Source organism: Homo sapiens, chromosome 8 (genome assembly GCF_000001405.40).
Source record: "Homo sapiens chromosome 8, GRCh38.p14 Primary Assembly".
Classification (NCBI taxonomy): Eukaryota; Metazoa; Chordata; class Mammalia; order Primates; family Hominidae; genus Homo; species Homo sapiens.
This window is the reverse complement of record NC_000008.11, coordinates 41,293,049-41,318,844: the sequence shown is the minus strand read 5'-3', so window position 1 is coordinate 41,318,844 and position 25,796 is coordinate 41,293,049. Positions and strand designations below refer to the sequence as shown.

Here is a 25,796-nt window from a genome sequence, read left to right as displayed (position 1 = left end):
CTGAGTGTCTGCATTTCTGTTAAGGTCCTAGAAGATGCTGATGCTGCTGGTCTGGGGACCACATTTTGAGTAGCAAAGTCTTAGGAGACAGTAAAAATTAGAACCTGCAGTCTTTGAGCTTCCTGCCTATTGTGAGAATTACATACCTGTGCCAGTGAGGTTTGGTTTTAGCTGCATGAAAGAGAAAATCAAAATGACTTTGGATTTAAGCAAGTGAGGGAGACAGATTATAGGTCTCCCCAGTGAGAATCCCCAGGTGGGCAGTGCAGGGCTGGTGCAGGGACTCCTTGAGACCCAGGTTCTTTCCTTCTGCTCCACCATACTGGTCTGCTGGCATTCATCCTCATGGTTGCCAGAGAGCTGCTGTACCTCAGGCATCACAGCTAAATTCCAGGTGGGAAGCAGAGGGAAGAGGCAAAATCTCTAAGGCTATCTTTCTTATGATGTGCTCCAGGGTGCCACACTTACCAACTTCTACCTCCTTCTCACTGGCCAGAGCTGGCTTGAGATTTGCATTTCTAACAAGTTCCCAGAAGATGCTGGTGCTGCTGGTCTGCGGACCACACTTGGAGGAGCAAAGTTGTAGGAGACAGTAAAAATTAGAATCATCTGTCATGGAGGTTCTAATTTTTAGTAGCCCCCCTCGGACCTACTCAATCATAATTTGCATTTTAACAAGATTCCTAGGTGAATCCAATGCCTATTTAAGACTGAGGAAACCCATCTTGAGCAACTCTTCCACATACCGGGAAGTTTGACACCTTCCTCCTGTTCCAGTTCCTAGGTTGCAGGACACCCTTTCTCCAGGAGGCCCCAGTTTGTCTCATCCATGCACCCACATTGCTCTGCATCCCTCTGTTTAGCCTCCTACTGGAAGGGTCCTATGAACCCCCACTTTTTCCATTTATTTTTATTTATTTAATTTTTGTTTTAGAAGGAGTCTTGCTCTGTTGCCCAGGCTGGAGTGCAGTGGTGCGATCTCGGCTCATTGCAACCTCTGTCTCCCAGGTTCAAGTGATTCTCCTGCCTCAGCCTCCCGAGTAGCCGGAATTACAGGCACCTGCCACCACACCTGGATAATTTTTGTATTTTTAGTAGAGACGGGGTTTTGCCATGTTGCCCAGGCTGGTCTTGAACTCCTGACCTTGGGTGATCCACCTGCCTCAGCCTCCCAAAGTGCTGGGATTACAGGTGTGAGCCACTGCGCCTGGCAGAACCCCTACTTTTCAGAAGAGGAGACAAGTCACAGAGTGGTTCCTCAGGTGCCCTAAGTACAGAGTATTGAGACAATCAAATGAAAAAGATGAGTCTTGAGACGGTGATTTGCTCAGCAATCACATGACTACTGCACACCTACCATGTGGCAGGCACTAGAGATACAAATACAAAAAAGATACAGATTCTGTCTTCAAGAAGCTTCTAGAACTCCGGACATGCAAACATGCAAAACAAGAAGAGTGGTGCTCTGACAGCCATGATGTACAGGGAGACTGGGGAGAGACCAGGCAGATGAAGCCCATTAGCCAAACCTGAGATGTGTGCTGGGAAGACGGCCCAGCTTGTGGGGGCAGCGTGAGCTCTGCACAGAGGCTGGAGGCTATGAATTCCCCCACACTGGGACCCCACTGGCATGCACCTGTCAGGCTGCAAAGGAGGTTTTTTTTGTCTGCATGCAATCTGATTGGTTGGTGCCATGCCATATTGGGCTTTCTATATACACATATATATTATGTTATAAAATATATATAATATAAAATACATATATATTTTATATTAAACAATCTTTATTTGGAAAATAGTACCTTACAGTCCTAATGCTATCTATCAAACATCAATGACAGCAATTTCAGCAGGAACTAATGAACAGTAGCTAAACTAACAGGGGATCCATCAAAAGTGCTTTAAAGGGAGGAGCACCGGCTGACGTTGTGCCGAGTCTCTGGGCATTCAGGACTTGGTTATGGGAAAACAGAATCAAACTGGCAGGTGCTCTGGACCCAAACCCTGGCATTGTGACCCGCCTCCCTCCTGGGAGCCCTGAAGGCTCACAGTCCCCCTGGCACTTCCAGGCCCCTGTGGGCTGTGGGTGGAGCCCTAGGGGCCAAAGTGCCACTCAGGAAAGCCTGAAACGGCCTTGGAGTCAGCCAGCTTCTGCCTGTTGTGGCCATTTTCTTTCTGGAGCACCTGCAGCGCTCTCTCAGTGGGCTCAGTGGCCATCCAGCCTTCCTGGGACATTTTCTCATAGAAAAGGATCTCTCTCTCTCTGAAAACTGAAAGTGTCTTTCTTCAATTCCTGGGCCACGTCTCAGGCCATCTTCTTGTAGCGGTCACGGGTCTGACATGCGTGGCTCACGTTTTTGTGCACCTTGTACAGTCTCTGGTGGAGGTCCAGGAAGAGAGCCTGGTAAATGAATGGACAATCAGATGTTGCTGGCTGCAAGGGCTCTCCAGGTTTCTCTCCCCAGGGACTGGCCTTCAGCAAAGCCAGGTCTACTGCAAAGCCAGCAGGATTTGGAGTCCAAAGATCTGTGCTTCCTGACCTGCGACTGGCCTCCACCACAGTGCTTTGGTGGCTGGACTGCTAGTCAGGGTCCCACTACCCTGAGCTTCTGTATCTTCTTCTGTCAAATGAAAGTAATGAACTTCTCAGCCAGCTCAGAAGCTTTTGGTGAGGCCCAAATGCCATAATGCATGCAGAGAGCAAATCGGAAAAGACTGCAGCAAGGCATCTTCCTATGCGACAGGGGATTCTGCCTTCGCCCAGGTGAGTAATGCCCCTTAAATGGCAGATGGCAGATGTGTTATTCAGGCTGAGAGAGACTGTGGGGAGGAGGCTTGCCTGGATGGAGACTTGGAGGCGAGGCTTCCCCAGCTGAGGTTACCAGTTCTTGGGAGCAGGGAAGGCTTTCCTGCCAGGCAGGAGTGTGATGATGGGCACTCCCCCGTTCCTCTCGCTAGCACCTCATTTATATCCGGCTTGCTCCAGGCTCAATCCCCCAATGAAGGCTATGCACCGTCTGGCTCCACTGCCTTGAAGGGTTAGGTAAATAAGCACATGGCTCCTCGGGGAATGTGTCCCGGCGCTGGGCCGCTGCCCTCCCCGCAGCCATCCCGGCAGATTTATGGGCTTCAGGTCACTGAAGCATGTGCCACTTCACTTTCACTTGCCTGGGATTCCCAGAGGGGCAGGGGCTTCCTAAAGACCTGTGTCTGGTGCTCTGTGATGTCCCAGCCAAGCCTTGAGCCCCGTCGCCAGGATCCGACTCCAGGTGTCACACTGTGGAGCCCCCTTCTACCTTCTCTTGCTCCCCAGTCCCCACCCCCACTTGGCATACAAGGCTCCCAGAAACTCTAGCCTCCCAGATGCCAGCTCCTGTTTTTATACAGCATTGTGTGAGGATTTGTGGGAATGGGCCACTGCATTGACCAACCCACCCTCCATGGAGCCACCTGCTCGGTGCAAGCCCTGGGGAGAGAGGAGTGAATCGGATGTGGCATCTGTCCACAGGGTCAGCTCTGGGATGGGAAGAGATCCAATAAAGAAGTCCCACACTATGTTTGCTGTCCTTGTATAAGGCACTGATGATCAGTTCCCTTAGGATTCAGATCTAGAAAAGATTTTCCTTTTTCAAAGACAAAGAGAACGATGGGAGCTATTCATGCTGGCGTATTACCTTTGTTCTCAGAAAACATCGCACAAAATCAATGTGCAAGGGTAGCACCCCTAAGAACCTGGGTATTTCACATGTCTGTCTCCCCTTTATTTGTTTGTTGGGGTGGGCGTAATTATTGAGCACTCAGTATATGCATGGCATTGTACTAGATGCTGGAGATGTGGAATGGGTAAGACAAAATAAGACAAGGTCCTGGCCTCTAAGAGCTCACTGCACTGTACGATGTACATGGAAGGGACCAGTTATAAATGTACACGGAGTGTCTGCAGGCACAGAGTGGGTGAATCTGACTAGGGATGGAGGAGGTCAGGCCTGGCTTCCTGGAGGAGACAACATTGTTAGGATAAGTGGGTGGATTTGCCAGATAAAATATATGATGCCCAGTAAACTGAATTTCAGTTCAACAATGAATAATTTATAGTATATGTATGTCTCAGGTAATATTTGAGACACACTTAATAAGTTTTTTCTTGTTGATCTGGAATTCAAATTTTACTGGATGTTCTATTTTTTAATATTTAAATTTAATTTTTATTTTTAAAGACAGGGTGCCATTCTGTCACCCAAGCTGGAGTGCAGTGGTATGATCATAGCTCACTGCAGCCTCCAACTCCTGGGCTCAAGCGATCCTCCTGCCTCAGCCTCCTAAGTAGCTGGGACTACCGGCACGTACCACTGTGCCTGTAGCTAATTCTTAATCAGCTAATTCTTAAAATTCTTAAAATTGTGCCTAATCAGATAATTCTTAAAAATTATTATTATGTGTAGAAACAGGGTCTTGCTATGTTGCCCGGGCTGGTCTCAAACTCCTGGCCTCAAGCAATCCTCCTGCCTTACTTTCCCTAAGTGCTGGGATTACAGGTATGAGCCACTGTGCCTGGCCATGGGTGTCCTGTATTTTTATTTGTAAATCTGGAAACCCTATGAGTAGTAGTTTGTACAAAAGTAGTGAAAGGCATTACAGATAGAGAAAACAGCATGTGCACACAGCATGAGCCCAGGATGAGAGGCAAGCGAGAAGCCATTGGGTGGGAAAGTGCAAGTACTTCTGGAGACTGGAAACTAGGCTGGTGGGGGGTGCTGGGGAGGTGAAGCTGGAGAGGTCATGGGGGTCAGGGCTGAGTCTTGATACTATCCTGGAGGTTGGGCTTTTTCCTGTGGACAAAGAGTGTGTGAGAATTTTAATCAGAGAAATAGTCCATTTGATATTTTTATTTCTATTTAAAAAGTCATCTTAAAATATGCCTTTTATTTTTAGTTCTCTTCTTTCTAAGAGGTGGTATACAAGTCTTCATTTATTTATATAAAAATTATATTTATAGGCATGAATATATTTATAATATAAATTATAAATTAATTAATGTAGTAATAAATGAACAAAAATTGTCAAGCCCAGTTTGACAGAACCTCGCCTGGAGAGTGGGCAGGTGTGACTGTCTGAGTGGAGGGGCGGGGACGGTGACCTTGGCCTCCCAGTTTGGGGCTCCGCTGAGGGTGTCTTCCTGGCTGCTTACGATAGGAACTGATCCTAGGATGGCCTAGTAAGAAATTACAGGGAGCAGAGTTTCCCTTCAAGGAAGGAAGAACATTCTAGTGGATTGTCTGAACTTGGTGACTATATCCCAAACAAATAAAAGGGATGCTCCGTTAGCTTCTGTCAAGAATGGTGCAGAGGACTGGGTGCGGTGGCTCACCCCTGTAATCCCAACACTCTGGGAGGCTGAGACAGGAGGATTGCTTGGGGCTAGGAGTTCAAAACCAGCCTGGATAACATAGCAAAATCCCATTGCTCAAAAAAAAAAAAAAAAAAAAAAAAAAAAAAAAGCTAGGTGTGGTGGCCTGCATCTGGAGTCCCAGCTACTTGGGAGGCTGAGGTGGCAGGATTGCCTGAGCCCAGGAGGTCAAGGCTGCAGTGAGCCAAGGTCCTGCCACTGCGCTCCAGCCTGGGGAACAGAGTGAGACTCTGTATCAAAAAAAAAAAAAAAAAAAAGATGAAGAGGTAGGGGTGCTTACTCTAAGAAGAGATGAAGAGATGGGGCTGGAATTTGCCTTCAACTCCAAATTTTTAAGATGCTTCCCAGACATTCCCAGACTTCAGTTAGCAGGTCAGGCCAGTTCTTTAAAGAGTTAGAAAGGATCAGGATTACACATCTACAGAGGCAGAATGCAGAAGAAGCTTGTCCAAGTAAGAGCATGACCAGGTTTCAAGGCATCTGACAACGAATACCACTTTGGCCCCTTCAGACTTGCCTGGAAGTCTAAGGATGTGCCTCGAGTGACCCTACATGCTGAGAATTCACACTTCTGAGCTAGCAGGGCAGCCGGGCAGGCATTAATAGCTCTGTTTCACAGATGAGAACACTAAGACCAGAGAGAGGAAGTGCGATTCCCATGAGTCGCCCAGCCAGTTAGGAGCAGAGCTGAGGCTGTAGCCTGTGTCCACTGACTGTGGGCCAGCATGCTTTCCTTGGCATTGCCCCTGACCCACAGATACCCAGCTTCAGGCGGGAGCTCCCTCCCTAGTGCTGCTGGCTGAGGGAGAGCGAGCTGAATGTATCTTTGGAGAGGATGGCAGACATCACTGATGATATGATAGTGGAACACAATGGGAGCTGTGGCTGGGAAGGCTCCCCTCCCAGTTTTTCCAGGAGAAGCCAGGAAAAAGCTCTGCGTGTGGGAAGAGGCCACCTGGGAGGCACCTGGGGGGGCCCTCTGTGACCCTCTGTGGAGGCTGAAGAACTGAGAATGCCTCCTGAAGCTGGTGTTTTGAAGCAACAGAGGACGAACTTTCAGGCTTCATGCATGGGCATCTAGCAGTGTGGGAAAAGCAGAACTTCTGGGAAATGAGAAACATAAGTTAAAGCTGCATTTTGCCTCTGTTTATTTAAGCCATTCAAAAAGGAGGGAGGATATGTCTCCTGGCCCACAGTTCTCATACTCAGGAACCCTCATATCTGGGAGCTCTGTCATGTCAGTTGCATGTTTAAAGGGCCTTTGTTCTAGAACCTTCTGCTGTACACACAGGAGTGCGTGCACACACAAACACACACACACTTGCCATTAGGAAAAGGGGGACTGGATTTTGAAGTGCAAAGAGTTGACAATAAGTAAAAGGACAAAAGTACTGTATGTACCTCTGCAATACAAAGTCTTCAGGCTGTTCTGCCTGGTGCTGTTATGCAGCATGTGAATTTCCCGAGAGGACGGGGGGCGGGTGGTCCCTCTCCCACATCCCAGGAATGGATTAAAGTCTCTCGGTGGGACTGAGGTCTTAGGGTCCTTCCTTTCCAGCTGGGTCTGGGAGGAGTCAGGAGTGCACTGGATTTAGGATTTGGGGTCTTCTCCCATCACTCCCTGTTCCACGGAGAGACAACTGTGTTCCCAGCAGGGGTCAGTAAAGCAGTAGGACCACTAGGGGTGAGTGGGGGAGGTGGTGACTGGAGGTGATCAAAGTCTACTCGGAGTGACCAGACATAGGCGAGGTCTTCCCCTGAATGGATTTGTGAGATTTACTCCTGACTTGGGACTTCCAGGGCAGTCACCTGGACGAATTTCCAGCATTTAACCGTGGACAGACACAAGTCCTCCTGCCATTCGGGAAAACTGAAAACGTGAGTGAGCGGTCAGCTAAGCCTGGGTTCAGAGGTGAGAGGATGTTATCTGCAAACATCCATCTTTGCAGTGAGCAAACAGACGCATTTGGCTTGAGGTGGAGGGCCTGGCCCTAGGAGACAAAAAGACCCCCTACCAAACAGCATTTTTCTCTAAATGCCCCTTGAATTGAGACACAGTTGCCGGGTCTCCTGCGGTCTTATTCTCTGTGAGGAATGTCTTCCTCAGCTCCACAGGCCGGCCTCACCAATTGTCTTGGGATTAACCCTTGGCCATCCCGATCTTGCTCTCTCTTCTCTGTGTTTTCCTTCCAGCCTCCATGTCACCTTTTGAGTGTCAAGGCATCTTCCATTGGCCACGAAATGACAGAGAAGTCATCCATCTGCAGAAGCCTCCTGTGTGCACCGTGGAATCACCGTGTCTGTACGGGCACGAATGCTTTAAGAAAACAGCCCTGCTTCTTCACAAACTCTAGTCATTTCACTTGGAATCTGTCCATCAAGAAATTAGGTTTGCAGAGTCCAAAGCAAGCTCCCTAGAGCTTTACAAACAAGCTGGCGGGCAAGGCAGCGCGCCCTATAGTGTCTCTGTGGAGCGCTAAGATCTGTGACCCCTTTGCCACATGGGGTGTGCGCTCAGACTGGGCTATGAATATATCAGCCTCTCTCCACCCGCACTTAGGGACAGAAGATATGGAGACTCCAGGAACTTCATGAACTATTTGCTGTGGTCTTCTGTCCCGGGATAGTCCGGGTCTCACTCCCAGCTCTCCAGAGCTTAACCCTCCCTCTCAGGGGAATGTTTGAAACCTACGAAGAATTCTCAGGAATTCGAGGTAGAAGGTGGCAGAGAGACTTCTGTTCCTGGGGGCCGAGCTGTTGTGCTGATACCGTCCTCTTGGCGTCTGCCCTAGTGGGGACCCTTGATTTTAACTTGAAGTTCCTGGACTGGGTCTAACCTTAGCATGTGTGCCTGAGTGATGGACTTGGTATTTACACCAGCCACGCTGATAAGTGCACATGTGTTTTTAATGTTTTGGCTTTCCACACCACAAACACACAGATGTGCTGTCGCCCGGGCTAGGACTTGAGTAGGGTTTTTCTATTTAAATATATATTATATATTTAAAAAAGTGTCCTCCCAGAGCTAATACCGTTGCTAGCAGCTCTTCCTGCCGCCACACCGGGCAAAGTCCACCCACTGCCCCAGTGTTGAGGGCCACCATGGGCGGCCCCACCTGGAGAGGTGCTGCTCACAGCAAACAGCTCCAACTGCGCCTTCGCCTCGCCTTCCAGGGAGCCCAGCCAGGCCCACTGGGTATTTACAAGCAGACCTCCCTCGCTTCAGCCTTCCTGAACCCCTGTTAGTTGGGAAACCACCTGTCTGCACCGCAGCTAGAGAACCGAGGAGAGGAGCCGCTAGTCTAAAGGGCTGTTGGTTGAAATTAGGAAGCAGTGTAAAGAAAAAGAAAAAAAAAGTTTGGGAGGCCAAGGCAGGAGCATCACCTGAGGTCAGGAGTTCGAGACCAGCCTGGCTAACATGGTGAAACCCCGTCTCTACTAAAAATACAAAAAATTAGCGGGGGCATGGTGGCACGCGGCTGTAATCCCAGCTACTCGGGAGGCTGAGGCAGGAGAATCGCTTGAACCCGGGAGGCGGAGGTTGCAGTCAGCGGAGATAGCGCCATTGCACTCCAGCTTAGGCAACAAGAGCGAAACTGTCTCAAAAAAAAAAAGTCTTCATAATTTCATGGGTTTGCAAGTATGATCCAGGCTCCCCGCTTCTCTGCAAGCCAATGCGAGTTAATTACAGCGTCCGCCCTGGTCTCTCTCCACCCCACGCCGTGATCCATTCCCCTTCTTTTTCTCCCCTTGTCTCTTTCCTCCTCCCCCTTTTATTTATGTATTTTTGGTTTTGTTTTTTAAGGGGTGTTGAGCCGCGTCTGGTTCTAGTAAACCGAACCCGCTCGCGAGGGAGGCGATTGGCTCCCGCGCCGGTGACGGACGTGGTAACGAGTGCGGCTCGCCCCGCCGGGAGCTGATTGGCTGCGCGGGGCGGCTCCGAGGGCTCGGCCGTAGGAGCCCCGCGCACTCCAGCCCTGCAGCCTCCGGAGTCAGTGCCGCGCGCCCGCCGCCCCGCGCCTTCCTGCTCGCCGCACCTCCGGGAGCCGGGGCGCACCCAGCCCGCAGCGCCGCCTCCCCGCCCGCGCCGCCTCCGACCGCAGGCCGAGGGCCGCCACTGGCCGGGGGGACCGGGCAGCAGCTTGCGGCCGCGGAGCCGGGCAACGCTGGGGACTGCGCCTTTTGTCCCCGGAGGTCCCTGGAAGTTTGCGGCAGGACGCGCGCGGGGAGGCGGCGGAGGCAGCCCCGACGTCGCGGAGAACAGGGCGCAGAGCCGGCATGGGCATCGGGCGCAGCGAGGGGGGCCGCCGCGGGGCAGCCCTGGGCGTGCTGCTGGCGCTGGGCGCGGCGCTTCTGGCCGTGGGCTCGGCCAGCGAGTACGACTACGTGAGCTTCCAGTCGGACATCGGCCCGTACCAGAGCGGGCGCTTCTACACCAAGCCACCTCAGTGCGTGGACATCCCCGCGGACCTGCGGCTGTGCCACAACGTGGGCTACAAGAAGATGGTGCTGCCCAACCTGCTGGAGCACGAGACCATGGCGGAGGTGAAGCAGCAGGCCAGCAGCTGGGTGCCCCTGCTCAACAAGAACTGCCACGCCGGCACCCAGGTCTTCCTCTGCTCGCTCTTCGCGCCCGTCTGCCTGGACCGGCCCATCTACCCGTGTCGCTGGCTCTGCGAGGCCGTGCGCGACTCGTGCGAGCCGGTCATGCAGTTCTTCGGCTTCTACTGGCCCGAGATGCTTAAGTGTGACAAGTTCCCCGAGGGGGACGTCTGCATCGCCATGACGCCGCCCAATGCCACCGAAGCCTCCAAGCCCCAAGGTAAGGCTGCCTCCTCCCACGTGCGCGAGCCGCCCCCTCCATCCCCCGGCCGGAGCTGCAGGAGAACCCGCGCCACCCTACGCCCGCCCGCCGCTGGGTCCCGGTGCTGGGGACTGAGGGCCCGAGGTTGCTCGCATGCTGTGCACGTGATTCCTAAGCGCGTCTGGTCTGTCCCAGGTATCGCTCAGCGCCCCTCGCGACCCAGGTGCACGGCGGGGCTGGCCCGGGAGCGGCAGCTCTGCGCCTTGGCCTCGCAGGGACTCGCTGTGGTCCCCGGAGCCGCTCTTCCTGGGATCCAACTTCGCCTTTCCCATACCTGAAACAAAGCCTTGCGCTTTAAATAACAGGGGAGCTTCCCTCTCCTCTAGGAGGACTCCGAGTCCCTATCGAAGTTTTTAACCTCTGAGACGGGAGGAAAAAACAAAAACCCAAAGCGTAGAAAGTTCAGAAAGGCCGAGAGAATGCTTGGAGCAGCTTTTGTTTATTTTCATAGGTTCGACAAAGATTTAAAAAATAAAACCAAGCCCTTTCCTTCACTGGTCATTCAGTCAAGTAGCCTTGGGATTGCTGCAAAACTGGCTGAGAAAGTTTAGGAACCGTGGGGACTTCTGTTTCTCCACCCCTTCCAGGTACCAGCTCTGCCCTCGGAGGGCTGGGGGTGGAAAGTCTTTTCTCCCTCCCTCTAGCGTACCCCCTGCTTTTCTCATTTACACAAATCCTCAGCTCATTAGAAAGATAAAAATGTAATTAGCTCATTGTTCATCTCCTCCCGGGGAGAGCAGCTCTGCAAAATGCAGACTTTCCTAACAGCCTGAGGGACCGGCCCGAGGTTCCTCTCAAAACCCCCTTATGTTTAAAGAGCAATTCTTGAGGGGGAAGAAAAAAAAATCCTGGGAAGTCAAATAAAATGAAATAGATATAAAGATAAAATATACACATCACAGACCTGACTTCTATAGAAGTAAATTCAACCCAGAATTCTTTAGAAGCGAAGTTTAGGCTCTGAGGTGTGGAGAGGGTCAGGGATTGGGGAGCTGTACCCCAGCTGCGCTTAGCACAGACGCAGGCTTCCTGAGGGCTTTTTGAGGAGGGCCTTTAGGGTGGGGGAGAAAGACTGCCTACACTTAGCTCACCTTAAAGTGTCTTTAACCTCTGTTATTGATGCTAAAAGAGGGGAGTGCAGTCACCTGGCTCCTCAGAGTGAGGATTTGGGCAGGTGGGGGAAAGGGATACCCCAAATTTTAGATGCTTTTGCTTATTCTAGGGAGGGTGGAGATGGGTCCACAGTGACTGTCGTTGGATGGCTGGATGGGAACGGCACTGATTGCCCGCAGTGGCCAGGTCTGGGCACCGCTGCTCTCAGAGTCAACTCTGGTGTTGGGAGTGGAGTGAGGGTAGCGGATGCATCTGCACTTTGTGAGCGAGAACTGAGCAGTTACCTGGAGCAAACAAAGCGCCTTGTGTTCTGTTGGCTTGCACCCATCCCCTGCAGCCTGCGGGAATTTCCTTCTCCCCTTCCTCAGCCAGCGGGGATTAGCCCAGCCCTGCCCTGTGAGGCTGTGCCCAGCCCTGACCTGGAGTCCATTCCCAATGGCTTCCGATGGTCTCTTTCTGGGACCGTCTGCAGACATGAGTGGACACCTTAGGGGGCTCGGCTGCGGAAAAGGTGCTGCAGTCCACAGGGAACATGGGGGGATTGGACGGGTTGCCTGAAGAAGAGAGGAAAGAATCCCTCACCCCAGCCCCCAAAAGGCTGTGATGGGATGGGGAAACCCCATAATCGCTGTCTTCCGGACACCTTTTGCCCCTTGGCTGCAGTTCCACTGGTCGGCGCCCTTCTCAGCCTGGCTTGGAACCGTCCTCACTCACCTCCACTCCTCCCAGCAGCGCTCAGGTAGTCACCCTCCCAAGACAGGTCTTTGAGGAGCAAAGAGAAAAGTGGGGAGAGGGCCGGTCGGGAGTGGGGCTTGGGACTGGTTTTCCCCTCAGTGGTTTTGGTGGGGGGCTCTGCCCTGAGATGGCACACCACCCTCCCCAGGACTGCAATCCCTGGTGTAAGGGAGCCCCACGTGATTTCCTGCGAGGTCCCTGTGGAGGGGAGGGTGGGGCGTGTGTGTGTGTGTGTGTGTGTGTGTAGGTGTGTAGAGGGCAGGTCAAGACAAACCAGACTACTGATCCTCATAACCTTATGGCTTGTGGCTGTGGGGTCGTAACTGGCACTTTCCAATGAGAATAAGTATGCATGCACTACTCTTTTATTCGTTTATTCTTTATGCTTTTATTCTTTAAAATTAAAATGCATTTTCAAAGCAGTGTCATATCTTTGCATACTGGTTTCTGTTCACACACTTGGGCAAATTCAGTTTTGGATTATTGGCCAGCTGTCTGTGGTCATGTGTTATTAAGGAGAAACCTGATAATGAGAAATGACTTGACATTTTTCCCCTGCAAAGGCTGATACCCAAGCCATAGAAGCTCCTGTTAGGGAAGAGGCAATTGCTCTTTTTCTAGGGAAGTCATTTTTGAATTTGGCACTTCCATTAGAACTGTGAACTCCCAGGCTGATGCATTGTTGTTTCCCTCTCTGCCTGGTTTTACTGGGTGAAGTTGTATGAGCCAGCACATTGGGTTTGATTTTGTTGTTGCTTGGGCATGTTGTGCATTTAGTCAGTGTGGCAGAGGCCACAGAGCCCTCTGTTCCCCAGAAAGCCTTCCTTAGGGCTCCCTTTTGGTCCCCCCAGGAACTGGCCAGGGAAGATTGTGGGGGTTGTGTGTGAGAAAGGGAAAGAGAGAAGAAAGAGAGAGAGACTGAGAAAGCACTTGTGTGTGTGTGGATTGATGTATCACAAAAATCACTTAATCCTGATTCAGCTGTTGGGCTGTCTCCTCCACACACCCTTAAATATTAATAAACACAAAACCTTTGCTTTTTTTGTTCATTTGCTTTAAACATTATTTTAAATACAACTGAAAACAGCGATTTAGTTCCACCTCTCAGAAGGATGACTGGGTGGATTTCTCCTGCAGAGGCAGCCTGTAGAGCCCCAAGACGCACCAATGAGGCGCAGGTTAATACCGCATCACACATTTCTCTTTCTCTCTCTGGATCAGGCTGCTCCAGAGTCAGCCGTTAGAAAAGCTGAGATAGGGGAAAGCCGTGGTAAAAACACACAGAGCCCACCCCAACGAGCTCCTGCCATTCTGAGAGGCACTGAAGTCCAAATGTAATTGACGGGACTGAGGAAAATGTCCCTGAGAAGTGCAGAGCCCTCCTTGGCCGATTGGTTCAGGCGAACTTCAAGTGTCCAGAGGAGATGCAGTGAGTGTGTGGAGCGGGCAGAGATGTGCCCTTTATGTTTGGATCACCCTGACTTCACTATTTGGTCAAGATTGTATTCACAGAACGTTGCTATGTGTGTTTGTGTAACTCCCACTTTTCCTTTTTCAAAATAACCTAAACAAGGAAAACCCAAAAGCACAGTTCACTCTCCTTGTGCAAGTAACCTGGTCCTTTCCATATTGTCACACTTCCTTTTCCCCATGTGGAAGCAAAAACCATAATGCAAAATTTGTGGTAAGTTGTCTCCTTTGTGAGAATTACCACCTCTAGAACCCAGTCTCAAGTTCTGGGTGCAAAGCAAATTTCCAGCATCTGGGCTAAGGACAGTCATGCCATCGTCTGCTGGGAGCGTGGTTCTTAACTGCACTGAGAATCTGGAAGGTGTTTGCTCCTGGGTGCAGAGTAAAGGTGGGAGAGGAATGTGTCAATAAAAACTAAGGATGGGGTCTCTGCTGGGCCCTGCAGGGACCCTGTTTGGAAGTAGGGAGTGGTCTATGGGCCACTTGTGTCCTGAGGGCAGCCTTGATCTGGGGGTGCTCTGCAGGTCCCCTCTTCTCTTCCACTTAGGGAGCCTTTGCCTATTTCAATGTCTGAGCCATAAGGGGGGCTGATGGGGAGGGAGATGCTGCCACGGAAGCCATGGTGGAGGAGGATGAAGAGCAGTGGGCTCCAAGCACACCAAGCCCCACCTGCACTCCCCGAGTGCAGGGTCAGCGGTGACTTTCCTGTGCTCTTCAGCTCCAGCCTGGCTTGGCCTCCTGTGCTGTGCCCGGGGGTGGGGTGCCCCTAGAATGTGCTCGTGATGTTTTCCTAGACAGTCGATAAGCTCCAGGCTGCTTGATAGGTGAAGGTGATGACAATGATGATAAGCCACTTCAGCTCTTGGAGGAAAGCGCCGTCCTGCTCTCCCTCTGTCCTGGGAAGCTGGAGTCCTTTACCTCCACTGGATTTTCTGACTTCAGCAGTATATTGGCTTGGAGGAGGCTTCTGCCCTGGCCTCAGACATCTCCTCCCAGGCAGTGGAGCTGCCTTCCAACGTTATGCACGTCTGCCCCCACAAACCTCCTCTTCAAAGCACTTCACAGTTGCCCAGGAAAGAGCCTCTGAAGGACCCCTTCCTATCCAGCCCTGTCCTCCCATTTGGCAGCGCCTGTTAGTGCCCCACCCCGCCCGCCTGCCCTGGCCTCCTGCTGCGGTGGCCCTTTTGGAGAGGAGGTGTTCAGGGGCCGAGAGCTGGAGTTTGTGAGTCTGGCTGAGTTTCTTTCTCTCTTGGCTCCTGGAGACCTGGTCAGAGGGATCAGCAGGCTAGCTGGGAGTGTGGAAATGGGAAGGGGGCAGGAATCGGAGGATGGTATTGAAAGGAGAAGGGAGAGGATGGGAAACAAACACCAGGAAGAGATCTCTGTGGGTTTGTAAGCCAGCTTTTCCCGGCACTCACAGCGCCCCACAAGTCATCATTCATGTGACCTGCACCCACCCAGCCTCAGGTTATGCTGGCTTAAATAACTGTGTCACATTTAGCAGCTCTGGGCCAAAATGTTTCAAGAAACCTGCGCCTGCTCTGGTTGTAGACCCTGGGCTCAAGGCTTCTTGTTTTCAATTCTCAGGTCCCCTTCAGAAGTTCCAGAAGACCTTTAGCCACTTTCAGCCTGGACCCAGGGCCGATCTTTTCCCCAGGGGCTGCTCCCTTCCTGCTCTGTAACTTACAGTTCCGTTTCTCCCTACTTCCTTTCCCAGGCACAACGGTGTGTCCTCCCTGTGACAACGAGTTGAAATCTGAGGCCATCATTGAACATCTCTGTGCCAGCGAGTTTGGTAAGAAAGCGTTTCTAGCTGCCTCTGGAAGGTTTGGAACCTCCTGGTCTGTGCCTCTGCCAGACGGAGGCCCTGCTGATGTATCTCGTTGCAGCTTTCCATATTCTCTACCTCATTCCTCTCCAAATGGCTGCTTTTCTCAGGCAGATGGGAGACTAGACAGGGTCCAGAACCGGCCAGTTTTGATGAAGGCCATACTTTGCCCTCCTTTGTGGGGGATCGCTGGACAGATTTTTGGGCATCTTCTCTAGGCATGCAGGGAGGCTGATTTGGGGACAGGTCGAGAGGAGCAGGGAAGGACAGCAGCTCCTTCTCAGAAGCTGCAGGGAGTACAAGTTGCCACCTGCTACTGTGTCTGGTTGGGCCCGGTTTTTTCCGGACTGGCTCTTTTTTTTTTTTTTTTTTTTTAACATCTACCCCTAGGTGTCAGCATGACTCTGTCCAGGATTTAAATGGCTGCCCTCTGGGTGCCTTCCCAGGGAGGGGAGAGTTCAATGCTTAGGGGATTCAGAGTGGGGGTCCTCATCAGGTTCCGCGAGGCAAAGAAAAATGGACATCCCCACAGCAGGGTGGTTTTTCTCTCTTCTTCCCAAGTCACTCTCCATCGAAAGAGAATTCTGAACCAGCACTCGCAGCTCCAGGAGAAGGAGGAGCTGGTGGGGGCCAGGGGGAGGTGGGGGAGATGCCAGGGGCCTTGGGGCCTTCCAGGGATGGTCTGTTATAGTCTGACCTGCAGAATACCTGAATTCACCACACCCTGAGAGTCTCTCCTCTGAGAAAAGTAAATGTAAACGGCACCCCTTTGGAGGGCCAGCTCCCTCTCTCTCGCCTCTATCTGACATGGATGCAGAGAAGTGGCTCCGGCCAAGCCACACTTTCAGAAGACTCAGTGTGATGCTGAACAACGTGTTTCTCATAATTCCTGCCTTGTGTCCCTGAGATCGGATTTCTTACAGAATTCTTATCTGGAAAAGCGTAAAGATAGGTGATGTGAGTCCATTCGGAGGCATCCCAGTCCATGTTTTCATTAATCGAACATGGTAAAGTACACGGAAGGGTCTTGTTCCTGCCCTGTCAAAGTAAGCTGCACACATGTGGGAGGACACATGCAAGTCGGAGGGAATCATGCCTCACGACAGGGTCATTCTCAGGGTATTGCAATTGTGGATGAAGATGGAAGCTGGATGTAGATGGCCACCAGAGCTAAACTGGAGAGCGCGTATCCTGTTTCCATGCATGGGGAAGATTGATGTGTTCTCTGTGATGCAGCAGTGTGAGTTACTTGTCTGTTTCTGCATTAACTCAAATTCATCAGTGAGGATTCCCTGTATACCTAGTGCTTTCTGAGTTCTATAGATACAGATTGAGGGTGGAACTCTTCCTCTAAATAAATGTAATACATGAGTATTGTTTTTTAAAAAAGACAGAAGTTGGAGGATTCAGACCCTTTGCCACATAGGCTGAAGAGGCAAGCCTGGGAAAGAATTTGAATCTGGCAAGGTTGACCTTAAGGTGTAGGGCAGGGGTCTAGAGGGCACTCAGGTAACTCATCTGGGATGGACATCTTCTTCCCACGGCAGCAGGCACCTGCCAAATCAGCCAGCGTTCTGTACACAGAAGAGGACAGAGGATCTCATGTCGATAACCAGTCACGGTTTGTGGAATCTGAGTGATTAGCTGTTTGGGATTGGGTTCCTTTAGCCCTGACAATATTTTCCTCTTGGGTTCACAGAACTTTTGGGTTCCTCCTGGACCTCAGAGGTCATCTTATCCAGTCCTCTTATTTGATAAAGAAGGAATTTGACTTTCTCAACTGGAGTCCTTTTACACTCTGCCACCTGCCCTCCTCACTTAAGAGTTGATGCACAGCCGCTGGGCTCTGCCACGGAGGCGCTGACCTCCTTAGTGTGCGTATGGTGTATGGCAGGCTTCTTTGAGCTGGTTGCAGGAGAAACCTTTTTGTTTTTTTGTCTGTAATGTTCTCATAAAACAATATATAGGGATTTTTTTTTCTCTCTCTCTGTAGGGGCTGAGCTTAGCTCTGCCCTTCTTAGCACCTTAGAGAATGCAGCCTTGTCGAGAAACGTGTTTCCTAGCTCAGCTCACTTCAAGTAAGTGAGGCAGTCAGCCACACTGATGGGATTCAGTTAGGAAACAAAGAAATTGAACAATGCAAGCTGACACACAGCAGAGAAGAAAGAGAATGCTTGACTCCCTCCTCCAGGGATCAAACTTTGCATTAAGTGGCCCTGACATCCCCAGTGGGAAGACATCAGGTTGCTGGAAGGCTCTCTGTGAGCTCCGGGAACAAGGGGTGCATTTCCCTGGGTAAGCAGCACCCTCGTCCCCCTGCCACTGCATCTGTGGTCTCCGGGAGCCTCTGTGGAGCTGGGCATGTCTGACCCCTGACCTTCTCGGCATGCAGTGTGCTTTAACCCCTTGGCAGATCTGCTTAGTCACTCATGTCTCCAGCCCTGCACTGTACCTGCTCAGTTCAGGGCACATTTTTTCCCCAACAGGAAAAAAACATGAGCAGAAAAGCTTGTGTGCTGATGCTCAGGAATGCAGCTGATCAGCCTGGATCAAGCACCAGATGTGGGAGCCAAGACTTAGATGGGGCAAAGTCACCGCATCGAACATGGCGACCAGCCTGCCTGCTGGCTTCCATCAGCTTGCAGGGCTCTGCTTTTTGTTCTCTCTCTGCTTTTCCTGCTCTGTGACAACAGGGTGCCACTCTCGCCTCTTAAATAGCCCAATATAGTATTTGCGAGCCGCCACACTAATCATCCTGCTGTTAACAGCTCAGTACCCACAGCCGTCTTCCCTTTGGGTTGGTTTATCCCAGGGATATGAGGATCTGATTTATTTATAATTGTGGTGAGGTTAATTCCTGCCTCTGGCCACTTTCTCTAGCTTCTTCTGCAGTATCTGTAAACACCCGTAAGCTTTCCTGGGGGAAATTTGCATGGTGATACACTTCTGCTAGGAGAGTTCAGAGCTTCCACTTGTACTACCTTCTTCAGTGTTTTGAGCTTGAGAGTTCAGGTGGCAATTTCTTCAGCCCAGTATTTTCTCCCTATGGAAAAGGATTTCTTTGCCCCTAGAAACTTTCCTTGCCTTCTGGAAGGATTCTTTTTTCCATTTATATATTTCCTCATAAAGAGAAAAGCTGTACTATGCAACACTAAGGTTAGTCAAATAGGAAGGAAAAGAACATCAGCTTTCACAGTTAGCATTAGGGAGTATTTCCTAGTAGAAATATTTTCAGTTTCCCGCACCTCCGTACCTCCACTAATCTGTTCTCACTCTGCCTCCAACTTCTTTCAGGATGTCTTGGCTGTGCTGCTGTTTGGGGGACAGTGTTTTACTCTGACGGGCAGTTTGAGTTCTTGCAGAAAGTAGGCTCAGCCTTTCCAAACTAAACCTTGGGTTTCCTCCCAAAGATGAAGCAAGATGGCTGCTAGCACAGTCACTGCGGCACCTGCAGGCTGCCTGAGAGCAGGCTCTGTATCTAATGCCGTGTTTTACCTGGTGGGAGATGCCTGTTAATTGTGAGACACACTGTTCAGTTTGTACTACTGACAAAACAAAAAACAATAAAAAAACCATACTTCTTGCAGAAATGTGCAGAAAATCTGTGTCTTGGAATGAACAAAGTAAGGCCTATTTGCACTCAAATAGTCCCTGGCACAGTGTCTTATACATGGTAGGCATAAAATGAAAGTTTGTCAGCTGACTGTATGAATGACAGGGGATGTGGGACGTGGATGTTGGAATTTTTTTTTTTTTTTTTTTTTTGAGACTAAGTCTCGCTCTACCTGGGCTGGAGCACAGGGGCATGATCTCAGTTCACTGCAATCTCCGCCCCCCGGGCTCAAGCGATCCCCCTACCTTGGCCTCCCAAAATGCTGGGATTGCAGGCATGATGGACTTCTTTTTTTTTTTTTTTTTTTTTTTTTTTATAAAGGAGAAGGCTCTTTTCAAGGTGGATGTCGGCAACTTGTGTATTAAGTTCAAGGAAAACTACATGCCCTGTTTTGGGTGACTGAGCATATACATGTATACATGTTTAAAAGAAGCCCCAACATCCAGAATCTCATTCAGTCAAAGTAAAATTAGACATGGAAGGAATTGTTACTCTGGGGATGGAATTGATAGGTGGAAAACAACTGGGTTTTATTGTTGCTGAAGATACATATTCTATCCACAGATCTGTACAAAATGGAGCTAATTGTTAGGATATTTTATGTGCGTAAAAACCTGAGATTGGCCCATTGCTTAGTGCACTAGAGGTGTGAGTCCCAGCTGAGAGCCTGTGTCTCTTTCTGAGCAGCCTTCTTGTGCATGGGAGGTGGGGGGTTGGGGGGGTAGGCGGTGAAGAGATGGAGGCCGAGCCAGTGTTTGTCCTTTTGCATCTGGCTTATGTGTTATGCATCATGTCCTCATCTTTGGATATGACTATAGACTCTCATAAGAAGGGGAGTGGAGAGAAGGATTTGCCCTCAAGTTCACCTTTATTTTCTGAGGTTTTTCTGGAGGTGGGTAGAGAAAGAGGGAAAAGGGATGAGTGGGATGAGGGGGCTGTTCACAGCTCATGTGAACTGCCCATTTCTTTGGGTGCTGCGTTGCTCACCTGTACCACTTAAAATTTTTTTAATGGATACAAAATAGTTGCACATATTTATGGGGTATGTTTGATATTTTGATAAAAGCATCCAATGTGTAATGATCAAACTGGGTAATTGGGGCTGGGCATGCTGTCTCACATCTGTAATCTCAATGCTTTGGGAGGGTGAGGCAGGAGGATTGCTTGAGGTCAGGAGTTTGAGACCAGCCTCAAGACCCCAGGCAACATAGTGAAACCCCATCCCCATTAAAAATTAAATATTAACTGGGCATGGTGTCATGCACCTGTAGTCCCAGCTACTTGGGAGGCTGTGGTGGGAGGATTGCTTGAACCCAGGAATTTGAGGCTATAGTGAGCCATGATCACACCACTGTACTCCAGCCTGGGCAACAGAGCAAGACTGTCTCAAAAAAAAAAATTGTGTAATTGGGATATCTACCACCTGAAACACTGATCTTTGTGTTGGAAATGTTCCAAATCTAGTCTTCTAGTTAATTTGAAATATACAATAAATTATTGTTAACTATAATTGCCTAGCTGTGCTACTGAAGACTGTATCTTATTCTTTAAAAATACGGAACACTTCACGAACTCACGTGTTATCCTTGCATGGTGGCCATGTGAATCTTCTCTGTATTGTTCCAGTTTTACCATGTGTGCTACTGAAGCAAGCCCCTGTACCACTTTGCCATTGTAAAGCTGTGTTGAGTTGGATAGGACCTCAAAGATCAGCCAGTCCGTGCCCTCACGTTACTGACTGAAGGAAATAAGACAAAAAAATAAAGGAGTTAGGCATTCAGTGACCCAAGAGCACTCTACCTGGATCCCTGTTACTGCCCACCAGCACTTCCCTGGCATCCAGGCCAGATTGCACACCCTTGCTCCTTCCCATCCTCTCACACCCATCAAGCAGGAAGGTAGTTGAGGAGCTTCCTGGGAAGGGGCATCGGGTGCTCCTTTACTCTTAGGGTTTGTAGAATTTAAATGGACTGATGTCTGTGCCCAGCACACGGAAGGAGCTCAGCAATCATTGGCTCCCTTCTTGGTGGGAAAGCCGGCAGTGTAGCAGAATGGAAAGAACACAGGCTCTGGGCGAGACAGACTTGGATTAAATCCCTACCCTATAAGCTAAGCGACCACCAGAAAGTCTCTTAACTTCCCTGAGCCTGGCTCCTCATCAGCAAACTATGGATGAGAATTCCTACGTGACTGTGTTGGGAGAATTGGATTTAATCAAGTGTGGACAGTTCCTGGAATATGGTGGCTGTTCAATCTGTAATAATTATTATGTCTTCTTATTGGAAAAAAATGTTTTAGGATGAAATTTAGCCTAGGAAGGAAAATTCCAGCACTAATGAAATCAGCTTGTTGGGCGGAAAGTTTTTTAGGAAGAAGAATGGAATATGCTAGTTAATTCTCTGGTTAATGGAGGATTAAACTGAAGAAGTCTTTTAAAAAACCCATTTGGAAGACCTTTAAAAGCTTTAGGCTGCTGGGCACGGTGACTCACACCTGTAATCCCAGCACTTTGGGAGGCTGAGGTGGGTGGATCACCTGAGGTCAGAAGTTCAAGACCAGCCTGGCCAAAATGGCGAAACCCCATCTCTACTAAAAATACAAAAATTAGCTGGGCATGGTGGCAGGCGCTTGTAATCCCAGCTACTTCAGAGGCCGAGGCAGGAGAATCACTTGAACCTAGAGGCCAAGGTTGCAGTGAGCTGAGATTGCGCTGCTGCACTCCAGCCTGGGTGATAGAGCGAAACTCTGTCTCAAAAACAAAACAAAACCCACAAAGAGAACTGCTTTATGCAGCTTCAAGGTGCTGTAATTCACAATAACAATAACAAACAACTCCCCCTCGGAAAGCCAAACCCTAACTAGAAGTTAGGAGATCTGGGTTTTAGTGAGATGACATCCTTATGTCAACGTAAACCTGGAAGCCTCCAGACAGTGATGAGGGCTGAATGCGGGAGCTGTGACTGCCTGGTGTTCCAGGATAGGACCACTGAAGTTTTCATTTGTGTGTTTTTTAGAAACACTCTACCTAACGCGTTCTCCTTTTAATTTAGCAGGGCCTATGTTTGAGGGACTTCAGAGCCCCTTTGTGCTGTTTTACTTCACTTTGTTCTCCATTTTTCTCCAGCGATATCTCTGGGGCACTTTTCCCTTCCCCTACCCCAACCCCAACACCTGCCTTGTGATATTCACTTCCTTTAACCAAAAAATAGGCTATGCATTATAATGCGAATGAGCTTTTAAATATTGGTAAGTTTCATCCAGTTTTGCAGAAATGTGCTGGAAGCCCCAATCTGTTTTTTTTTTTTTTTCCAGAAGAACAAATGGCCAAAGAAATGTCAGATCATTGCCCTGCCCCGACCTTAGGGCAGCCAATTAAACATGCCTTCGCTTTGGAAGGCTTCTCAAAGGCCTATAGATTGTGCTTGAAATCTTTGTTTAGTCTTTCAGGAACACTGTCACACGGATGATTTATCAAAGAAAGTTGTTTATCTGGCAGTAAAATAAACTCTGGGCCTGTTCAGACTAAGATTTCCCGTGAATTTTTACCAAGGTAAACACTACTAACTGGCAGGTTGCAAACTCCGTGTGAAAGCCAGACACATATAATACATATTTGAACTACAGCTTTGCTGTGTATGGGGTCTGGCCTGCCACTAGTGCTGTCACTCCCACTGTGCCCAGAGGACCTGGACTGCAGTCTGTCTGGCTGGGTGACCAAGAAGAGGGACTTGCCCCATAGTCAGTGTGTGCAAGAGCCACCCCTGTAGCGTGAGCCTCCCTGGGTTTGAGTGCCTCTTACTGCTGGCACCTGGGGACTTCCTAATTCAAAGGGGGCAGGCTCAGGATGGTTGCCCTCCGCATCCCACAAATAGTTGGTGATGAGTTATGAGGAAAGTGAACCAGAAGCAGCCAGCTTAGGTTTCTTTGAAAATAGACATTTGTTGATCCACATTGGCAGGGGGCTGGACGTATTGACTGATCTGGGAGCTGGGGCCAGGGCATGGTGGCAGGGGGTGAAGTCATCTTCTGGATTCTGCTGAGTGTTAATGACAGTGGCAAAAAAAAAAAAATGCTGCAGATACTCCCCCAGTGTCTCTGGCTTTGCTAGTGGGTGGCTGTGAGAGACCCATTTGGGAATTAGGTAAGTTGAGTTCTGTGAGTGCTGCAGCGCATATTTAAGTGAGAGGGTGGATGGACACATGAATGGTGATGATGGGGACGAGATGAAATACAGCCTTCCAGGTCTTTCCAGGGAAGGTACTGTAGTGAATTTTTTTTTTTTTTTGAGACAGCCTCTTGCTCTTGTCGCTGAGGCTGGTGTGCAGTGGTGTGATCTTAGCTCATTGCAACCTCTGCCTACTGGGTTCAAGGAATTTTTCTGCCTCGGCCTCCCGAGTACCTGGGATTACAGGCGCCCACCACCATGCTCGGCTAATTTTTTTTTCTTTTTTTTTGAGACGGAGTCTCCCTCTGTTGCGCAGACTGGAATGCAGTTGCGTGATCTTGGCTCACTGCAACCTCTGCCTCCTGGGTTCAAGCAATTCTCCTGCCTCAGCCTCCTGAGTAGCTGGGATTACAGGCACGCACCACCATGCCTGGCTAATTTTTGTATTTTTAGTAGAGATGGGGTTTCACCATGTTGGCCAGGCTGGTCTTGAACTCCTGACCTCGTGATCTGCCCTCCTTGGCCTCCCAAAGTGCTGAGATTCCAGGCGTGAGCCACTGCACTGGCCTGTAGTGATTGTTGATAGTGGTTTTTTCAGGGAGACTGCTGGATTATAAACTGCTTGTTCTTACAGTCCCAGCCAGCTCCAGATGCTGGAGTTTCCATATCACACTAGCCTTGGGGTTCTTCCTGCAGGGCTGAGTTTAAAGATGATTGTGGGTAGCTCCCATAACTCATGCTGCACGCTGGGTCCTTCTCATCCCAACTCCTCAAAGCGGCAGGAGCAGGAACTGGGGACTCCTGAGAGAAGGTGACATTTGTGTCTGTGTGGGCTTTTGGGGTTGGGATCTCGGTGCATGTGCAGAGCTTCCATATACATATTTGAGTCTTGAATGTAAAAGGTGTTGGTCTGTTAGGTTTGGGGGGCTGTAAGCATGAGGGCTGAGGCTATTTGACAGCACTTAGGGATTGATGTGCAGGTAATAGATGCTTACTGGCTTGGCAGATATTTGGAGGCATAACAGAGGTATTTTCTGTAGGGCAGGAATTAAGGGACATCATTTACAAATTCTGAAAGGATGTCTGTGAGTTGTAAAGAGATGCCAAAATAGTACTTTGGCAGTGGGGAGAAAACGAGAAACCAGCTTCCCTAAATGATGTTCTTTCTCATTCAGGCAGGATTACGAGGGGGATTTTCTCTCTCTTGTTTTCTCTAGCCCTTCCATCAGCTTTCTCCAAAGGACATTTCCTTTTGGGACTACCTCAGATGTGTTCTCTTCTCTTTGTGAGCTCTTTGAAAATTTTCCACGTCGGTGTCTTCCGCAATGGATGCATTCAGCTTTGGGGAATGGCTTATGGCTGAAGGAAATCCCCAACTATATGTCGGTGGCACCAGAGCTAGAAACGAGCCTGGATAAGCACTTTAAACCCTGAGAGCAGCTGGTGCCTAGAGAGCGCATTCCCTCCTGTGGTACTCCATAGGGCGGCTGTGCCAGCCCGCTGTGCTCACCTCTCAGGCTCATAGACAGTCTGGGCGCCTTCCACTTTTCCTTTGGTCTCAGCCCCATATGGAGGACCCTGTTCCTGCCCTCGACACATTTAAGAATCTGGTGGCCAAGTATGGTGGCTCATGCCTGTAATCCCAGTGCTTCGGGAGGCTGAGGCAGGAAGATTGCTTGAGCCCAGGAGTTCCAGACCCTGTCTCTAAAAAAAAAAAAAAAAAGTAGCCAGATATGGTGGCACATTGTGGTCCCAGCTACTTGGTGGGATGTGCGTCTGAGCCCGCGAGGTCGAGGCTGCAGTGAGCTGTGTTCAGGCCACTGCACTCCAGCCTGGGTCTGAGACAGGGCAAGACCTTGTCTCAAAACAGAAACAAAAACAAAAACAAAACCCCCCACAAAACCCCCAAGAATCTGGTGGGCGAGACAGGCCTTTGCCATGCTTTTTTGTCTCTGCTCTTTGGTAACTTCAGATGCCTTTGTGCGTAGTTCTAGCACTCAGGACTGAAGGAGGGAGGGGTCTTCGGTGGGGCCTGGAGAAATTCAGGGAACTTTCCTAGAGAAGATGAGGATCTAACTGTCAGGCTGAAGATTAATGGAGAAAGTAGAGGAGGGCATTCCTGGTGTCAGGAGATGAGGACAGGGAAAGGGAGTAAAGACTCAAAACAAGTAGTAATTCTTCAATTGACGAAACCTAAGCTGGTAAATAAATACAGAGGAGAATGTTGGTTTGTCATTTGTCAGTTATAACAACTCGCTTCGCATTCTATGTTCTGCTTAGCCCTGGCCCACAGCGTGGGGACTCAAAGGCTGCATCAAGGCATGGGAGGGGGAGCTGCTCCTTCCAATTCGCAGCTGTCTGTGTACCCAGCTCAAAGGGTGACGAGGTCCCAGCAAGGCTGTACCTGTTCTTGTGGTGCAGCAGTTGGAATGAATGGCCCATGTGTTTCAGGGGTCCCTCATGTGGTTGTGGCCATGGGCCTGAGTCAGATATGACACCCAGGGAGTGCATAGCTGTGAGGGGAAGGAGTTCAGTCAGGTAAGTACTTGTTGTCAGCCCTGGGCAAGGAAGGTGCTGAGAAGTGCACAGGCAAGACTTGAG

General features: G+C 49.9%; 1 protein-coding gene and 1 pseudogene across 1 annotated transcript in view, besides 3 other annotated features; one reads left to right on the top strand and one right to left on the bottom strand.

Moving 5' to 3' along the window:
- Positions 7,205-7,732: an enhancer, noted in NCBI's record as "NANOG hESC enhancer chr8:41168632-41169159 (GRCh37/hg19 assembly coordinates)". NCBI's record gives its function as "activates a minimal SCP1, AML or CMV promoter by ChIP-STARR-seq in naive H9 embryonic stem cells {active_cell/tissue: H9 hESC(naive)}" and the evidence as "EXISTENCE:reporter gene assay evidence [ECO:0000049][PMID:30033119]".
- The window catches only part of SFRP1 (secreted frizzled related protein 1), a 47,512-nt gene continuing 31,087 nt past the window's right edge, over positions 9,372-25,796 (top strand). Inside the window, exons 1-2 of the mRNA NM_003012.5 lie at positions 9,372-10,229; positions 15,307-15,384. Of these exons, the coding sequence (NP_003003.3) occupies positions 9,686-10,229; positions 15,307-15,384 (622 nt within the window). The 5' untranslated portion in view covers positions 9,372-9,685. The remainder of the gene's footprint in view (positions 10,230-15,306; positions 15,385-25,796) is intronic.
- Positions 9,652-10,422: an enhancer, noted in NCBI's record as "H3K4me1 hESC enhancer chr8:41165942-41166712 (GRCh37/hg19 assembly coordinates)". NCBI's record gives its function as "activates a minimal SCP1, AML or CMV promoter by ChIP-STARR-seq in naive H9 embryonic stem cells {active_cell/tissue: H9 hESC(naive)}" and the evidence as "EXISTENCE:reporter gene assay evidence [ECO:0000049][PMID:30033119]".
- Positions 10,423-11,194: an enhancer, noted in NCBI's record as "NANOG-H3K4me1 hESC enhancer chr8:41165170-41165941 (GRCh37/hg19 assembly coordinates)". NCBI's record gives its function as "activates a minimal SCP1, AML or CMV promoter by ChIP-STARR-seq in naive H9 embryonic stem cells {active_cell/tissue: H9 hESC(naive)}" and the evidence as "EXISTENCE:reporter gene assay evidence [ECO:0000049][PMID:30033119]".
- On the bottom strand, positions 20,580-20,682 carry RNU6-895P (RNA, U6 small nuclear 895, pseudogene; annotated as a pseudogene).